The sequence below is a fragment of the Homo sapiens genome, chromosome 5 (genome assembly GCF_000001405.40).
Source record: "Homo sapiens chromosome 5, GRCh38.p14 Primary Assembly".
NCBI lineage: Eukaryota > Metazoa > Chordata > Mammalia > Primates > Hominidae > Homo > Homo sapiens.
In genome coordinates this window covers 52,340,185-52,347,713 of record NC_000005.10, presented here as the reverse complement: position 1 = coordinate 52,347,713, position 7,529 = coordinate 52,340,185, and positions in this window count along the sequence as shown.

The window sequence follows — 7,529 nt, the reverse complement described above, 5'->3', positions numbered from 1 at the left end:
TTTTGAATCTTTTTATCGGAGATGCTGTGTTAAAGATGTTATTTTGTCTGCCTTGTGTTGGGAAATGCAACTTACCATAACTATTTTTGGCTGTGTGTTTGACAATTTTCTTTACAATGAGTCTTAGATTCCCCAGTATCTAATAATTTTTACATCATTAGAGAGGAATTGGATTAATAGTAGAAGAAATCATAGTAATAACTTTTCCAGTAATGGAAAAATCCATGTGTCTCTGGTCCATAATTCTCACTTGAGGGTTTCCTTTCTGAAAAAGTGAAAGCATGTGCACTTGAGTAGATCTGACTATAAACATAGTTCCTCATATGTGACTGATTATGTTGTTTTTTAAATTAGACTTCTTGAGTAAGATCACCAACATGGGCCAACTCTCTGTATAACCCTATCCTCTTCTGGTCATTGTTTACTCTCTGGCCAGTGACAGCAGAGGGAGAGAGCCATAAGGGTTCTGATATCTTTAGATAGTATTATAATTTAGTCTTTTATTCATCCTTCTCCCAAACACAAGGGCATTTATGAACATGGGTATTTACGTCATTTCCTTCATCTACCTAGGTATTGGATCTGATACCCATTATGGTTTGTGTGGTGGCCATAATTATCTAACGATAGCAGCTAATACATGGAATTACCTCATCTCCTGTACTAGGGAGAAGGGGCAGGCAAAGAATGTCTCTTGAAGAAACGAAAGTAGCTAGAATTACAACAGCAATTATTGAGAGCTAACATGAGTTCTCCAGGTTTGAAATAGTTAAAATTATCTTTTATAAGGTAATGTGTTCTTCCGCTATTAAGTCATTTTGTTATTACATGTATTCCAGTCTTAGAGAAGGAAGAGCCTGACAGCTCTGGTGGTGTGAGGTCCCAAGTAGGATCCTGTTACTAAATTCCTTTTAGAAGCCTAAAATTTCTTCAAGAAAATGAATGTCTTACGCAGCCATATCTTAATGGATCAAAGGGGCCTGTAATTTGTGTAAAACATCTATGTACATGGCAATGTATCAGAGTTCCATGTAAAAAAATATTTCTGGTACCGAAATACAGAAACCAAAATCCTTGACAAATAACAGTGGAAACTTCGTATTCTTTTTCTAGGCGACATATTCAGATCGTCTGGTGTGAAACAGCATTCAGCACCAGGCTTAAATCTCACACCAGGCAGAGTAAGTAATCTCAATATAGTGGTGACAGGTGCAAGCCTTATGTCTTTTTACTGCAGGTTCACTGGGAAATGGCACCTGATAATGCCTCCCAGGTTCATACTGATTCAGAGAATCTGCTTTGATTTCTTATAGCTTCGAGTCAACGATTTTCTAATTCTTTAGAAGAACGCTAATTTTCTATCAGCTATCATTCATTTTACTATTCATTAAGACAGGACTTGGTACAAATATTTCCACTTTTCTTTTTTTCCAGCACACCCTGATGTAAAATTATCATTTTTGTTTATTTTTCTTCGACTTGTTAAAAAATAAAATGGATTTAGATGAATGTGTGAAAATGATGAGATGTAAACCACTTTGGATTAGAAAATACTTCACATTTCCCTCAAAGAATATTGCTAACTAAAGCAAATGTTTATTTAACATTAAAAGTTAAATGTTAAAAGTTAAGAATTAAACATGCAGAGAAACAATCAGATGTATATCACGATGTGTCAGCAGAATCCAGTTAAGTTCCTTATTAATGATTTTTTGTTTCATTTGTGTTATCCTGGCAAGGAACTCGTAATTAATTCTCAAACCATCCCTGCTGTAGTTATAAGTTACTTGTATCTTTAAAAACATTTAACATGTAGAGTGAGGGCATTTTTTGGCCATGTACAGACTTATAATCTCATTTTCTGACTGTCTTAATTCATAAATTTTTATACTTGATATTTTTGTAACTTCAGGAAGATAGAATATCACTTATAATTTTATTTTACTTCACAATACAATCAAGTGAATATCCACCCCCTACCTACATATTTCCTAGTTAATGCATATTTTAACATTTGTTTATCTGTGAAGTTGCAGGGGTTGGTGAAAGGGTTTAGGAGGAAGAAGGTGTGCTTAATTTATCATGACTGCTGACCCCATGTCCAGCCTGAATTATTCTCCTATTAGACTCTCACCTTTAATTATTTATGTATTTATTTTTGAGATGGAGTTTTTGCTCTTGTCACCTAGGCTAGAGTGCAATGGCGTGATCTTGGCTCACCGCAACCTCTGCCTCCTGGGTTCAAGCGATTTTCCTGCCTCAGCCTCCCGTGTAGCTGGGATTACAGGCATGCGCCACCATGCCCGGCTAATTTTATATTTTTAGTAGAGGCAGGATTTCTCCATGTTGGTCAGGCTGGTCTCAAACTCCCGACCTCAAGTGATCCACCTGCCTCGGTCTCCCAAAGTGCTGGAATTATAGGTGTGAGCCCCCGTGCCCGGCAAGTCTTACCCTTAATTTTTTCTCTCAAGAAAGGTTCTTCCTGATTTACTCCTTTATTTGAACAATTCTACTAATTCACCTGATTGTCAGTGACTACAGCCTACATGTGATCCACAGCATTTAAAGTGAGCATTAAAAAAATCAGTTTACTTGACAACTCACATATTTCTCAGCCCAGAGAACACTTTAGAATTAATTACCTTGGGATATTTAAAAGAATACTAACATTTGGACTCTACACCAGCCTGAGTAAATAGCTGGCTGCCCAGGCTTTAGTATTAAAAAACAAAAACCGAAAACTTCTCTAAGTTATTCTTAATTAAAGAGGGCTGAGAACCACAGCTTTAGAGGTAGAAAAAAAAAAGCACAGTGATAAACCGTATGAGCTCAATATTGCTGATGTTTTAATCTAGAAAGGAGCAGAGCAGTGAGGGATAAAGTGACTTCTCATTAACACAATGCTAAGCAAATTGAATTTATCCTATATGGTAATTGCAAACCAATGAAAGATTCCAAGCCAGAAGTTGATATTAACTTTCTGTTTAAGAATGATTACTTTCAGAAAACTGGAAATTTTTTACCTGTATTTGTAGTCCAACTAGGAGTTCTATGGATGGGCTTCATATTGAAAGTAAAATTTTAGAATATTTCACACAGGCATAGACACGGTTTTCTTGAAAAATTTTTTAGCTTTCACTTTCTCAAAGAAATATGTAACTTAAAATAGTTTAAGATCACTAATTTTTAATGGGTGGATGGGGGACTGAAGGTAGAAAAACAAATTAGAACTATTGCATTTTCATATAGATTCATTTATCTATTGCTATAGATCATTTCATGAGAGACGCTTGCATTCCTGTGGCTGTTACATTTAGCATCTAAATGTCCATGTAAAAAAGAAATATTTCTATCCAAGGAAAAGAAAATATACTATATTATTGCTCAGAAACACATTGGGAAATTTACAAATGCATCTCTAATAAAAAGAATAATGTAAATCTCTAAAGATATAGTCACATACACATATACATTTAAGTATGGTTGCTCCTAAATAACCTATACTAATATGTAAATGATGCTTTGAAGAAGGCTCAACAAATCACTAATGCAGATACTATTTTAAAGCTGCCAGTTAATGAGTAGAGAGGTCAAGGAACTTCCTTTAGGGCCAGGGTTAGCTTCATGGGCATGAGGCCTGCTCTTGTGCAGGGTTCCATGCTCAAGGAGGCGTATGTTTTAATTGGTGCTCTGCTTCTGCAGACTTAATAATTTTTGAAGGGCCTCTGATTTTTACTTTGTACTGGACCTGTCATATAGCTAATCCTGTTCAGGATATATAGCCAGTAAGTGTCAAGTAGATTAACTACCCTTACAAAAATATGATTTGAACTCAGACTTTTAAAATGCAGTATCTACTGTTAGTTGTTTTTACTGTTTCACTAAGTAAAGGCTATATGGAACAGGAAATGCAAATGGGACATTTATTGGATCAAATAACAGGAAGTCCAAATGTAGGGTGAGTTTCAGGGCTAATTGATGCAATAACTTAATGACTTCATCTGCACCCTCATTGTTTCTGTCTATCCTGTCATCTACTGTCTCATTCTACCCTGCTACTGGTTTCACTGAATTGCCATGAACAATCCTGGACTTCAGCCTTTCTTATTCATTTCCTCAGAGAGAGAAAGAGTCAAGTTTTTAAATTCTTCTCTGAGAAAGCAGGGATCTTATTTCCCAGAAGCTCCCAGTAACTATCCTTCATGTCTCATTGATCAGAACCAGGCCAAAGCCCATTTCTTAAACATTAAAAGCTCTGAATCAAGACAACTAGGACTGCTAAGTGGCAGCATCTCATCGGGACTTAGCTTTGTAACTGTAGATGAACCATCTTCTGTCAAGGCATGTGGATATGCTATGAATAAAATTCCTGTGCAAAATTAGAATCTGTGAAGAAAGGAGGGAAGAGATTCTGGATTGATAAACAACAATATTTACCCCTACCTCAACTGTAAATGTTTTACTTACTGGGTTTTAGTGCTTTTAATTGCTGTGATTATTTCAATCTATTATTTAGAGAAATGATTTCCTAAGAATAGTATCTATGGATCAGTTTCATCAGTCTGCTGTGGAATAAAAACAAATTAATTTGGTAAATTTTTAACAGTAATACACTTTTTAAATGTCAAGACCTACCTTTCTCTTAATATCTGTCCAAACTGTAGTGTTACAACATGTTTTCTTTATAAAAATGGTAACAGATTGTAGACAAAAACATTTATTTGGAAAGATTAAATTTAGTAATAACATGGCAATTCTCTGTTATTTCTCTTGTTGTGATTATTGTGATTAGAGTTCTTATTTTCTAATTTTACTATTTATTGAAAATTTAAAATTTTAATTATAAAATTTAAAAGTGATAGGTGTTTTTGTTTTCAGTCAGACATAATTTGGGTCTCAAATGTTGCACTTAAATTAATAATAATAACAGCTAAAACTTCTTGAATCCTTAAATGCTTTCACTTTGCCTGGGACCCAAGTTTTACACATGGCATAGAACTCTGGACACTCAGTGGTGTGTTTTTGACCAAATGTTTGATAGGTGCCAAGCTTTTTATAAGTAGTGAGGTCAGCCTGAGTAGAGAAGAAGTAAGCATATGGTTAAGAATGTAAGCTATCTGTATTCAAATCTTGCCAACACCACTTCCTAGCTGTGTAAACATTGGCAATTTTCCAGAAAATCTGCACATTAGCTTCTTCATGTATAAATTGGGTTAACACTATTAACCTTCCTAATACAGTTATTGTGAAGATGAATTGTTTTAGTAAAGGCAAAGCACCTTGAAGGAAATCTGGCATTTCATATTATAAAAATTATAAATATGTTAGTGTTCAACATATTAGTTAGTGTTAGTACTCACTGTGTTTCAAACAGAGGAAATTAAAGGCAAGAATTGATTACACTTAGAGCCAAGAAACCAACTGTAGCAGAGTGAGGCAACATAGAGATTATGAATAGCAGGTGCTGCTCTTATCCCAAGCCTTCAGGAACATGGGTAGGACGTGAGGCTAATGAAGTCCAGAGATAAGTCACCCAGGAGGCATTGTAATCAGACAGGAAACTGGTAGAATTTGAAGTCATGGAGGGGATGTGACTGCAACTGGAGTCACTTTCCAGAGAAGAAGGTGAATTACCCCTACCTTCTCCCTTTCTCACAATCTCCAGTTTCCATCTGTATGTCCTTTGAGCCAAACTTAGACGGATGCTTACAGAAGTTAGCCTTCCCACCACACAGAGCAGAGCAGCAGAAAGGTAAAAAATGGATCTGTAAGCAAGTAAGGCCATTGCTGACATAGATACTATTATCATCTCTTTATGTGTAAGAGACTTGAAGAAATCATAACCTCACTTGTGGTATATATTGGTGTAGTAAGAAGGTTAATAATATATTAATGTTTGTCAGTTTAGACAATTTCACATGTTAATTTATTTTTCCTTCATATTGCATTAAAACTTCCCCACTCCCAAAGGCATTCTTATCTATTATGTCTCATTAGGACTTGAGGTAAAGAAAATGCAATTCTTATATTCATTTTACAACTGAAGAAGTTGTGTTCAAGTTTGTATATCCAAATATATAGAAAAAAACAAATGAATTCTTTTTACTTATGTAAACTTAGGTCCATTTGTTGTGATGAAAGCACATAATAAATTATAATTTATTTGAGAATATGTATTAAAGTATTGTTTCTACAAAGTAACCTCTGTTCTTACAGATGTCACCATCCTGAAGACCTATAACTCAGAGATATCCATATATCTATATCTCCAGCTACAATCCTCACACTATCTCTCTGCCTCAAAGATACGATGGATTGTGTCAGACCACTGCAATAAAGTGAGTTACATAATTTTTTGGTTTCCTAGGGCATAGAAAACTTATATTTGTACTATACTGTAGTGTATTACATATGCAATAGCATTATGCCTAAAAAAAGCCTTAATTTTAAAATACTTCATTGATAAAAGTGCTAATGATCATCTGAGGCTTTGAGGAGTCTTAATCTGTTTGCTGGTGTAGGGTGTTGCTTTGGTGTGATGGCTGCTGACTGATCAGGGTGGTAGTTTTAGCAATTTCTTGAAATAACACAACAATAAAGTTTGCTGCATTGATTAACTCTTTCACAAAAGATTTCTCTGTAGCATATGATGCTGTTTGATAGCATTTTATCCAAAGTAGAACTTTCAAAATTGGAGTCGATCTTCTTAAAGACTGCCACTGCTTTATGAACTAAGTTTATATAATATTCTAAATTATTTGTTGGCATTTCAACAATGTTCACAGCAACTTTACAAGGTGTAGATTCCATCTCAAGAAACCACTTTCTTTGCTCTTCCTTAAGAAGCAACCCTTCGTCTATTCAAGGTTTATCATAAGTTTGCAGCAATTCAGCTACATCCGCAGGCTCTACTTATAATTCTAGTTCTTTTGCTATTTCTACCACACCTGTAATTATTTCCTCCACAGAAGTCTTGAATCGTGCAAAGTTATCCTTGAGGGTTAGAATCAACTTCTCCCAAATTCCTATTAATGTTGATATTTTGACCTCCTCCCATGAATCACAAATTACAAGTGTTCTTAGTAGTATCTAGAACAATGAATCATTTAAAGAAAATTTTCAATTGACTTTGCCCAGATGTATCAGAGTAATCACTATCTATAGTAGCTATAGCCTTCCAAAATGTATTTCTTAAATAATAAGACTAGAAGGTCTTAATCACTCATTGATCCATGGGCTACAGAATGGATGTTGTGTTAGCAGGCATGAAAACGTTAATCTCCTTGTACAACTCCAGCAGAGCTCCTGGATGACCAGGTGCATTGCCAAAGAGCAATACTATTTGGAAAGGAATCTTTTTTTTCTGAGCAGTAGGTCTGAAAAACGGGTTTTAAGTGTACATTAAACCATGCTATAAAGAGGTGTGATGTCATCCAGGGTTAGCTGTTCTTTATACAACACAGACAGAACAGATTTAGCATAATTTTAAAGGGCCTTAGGATTTTCAGAATGACCAATGGGCATTGGCT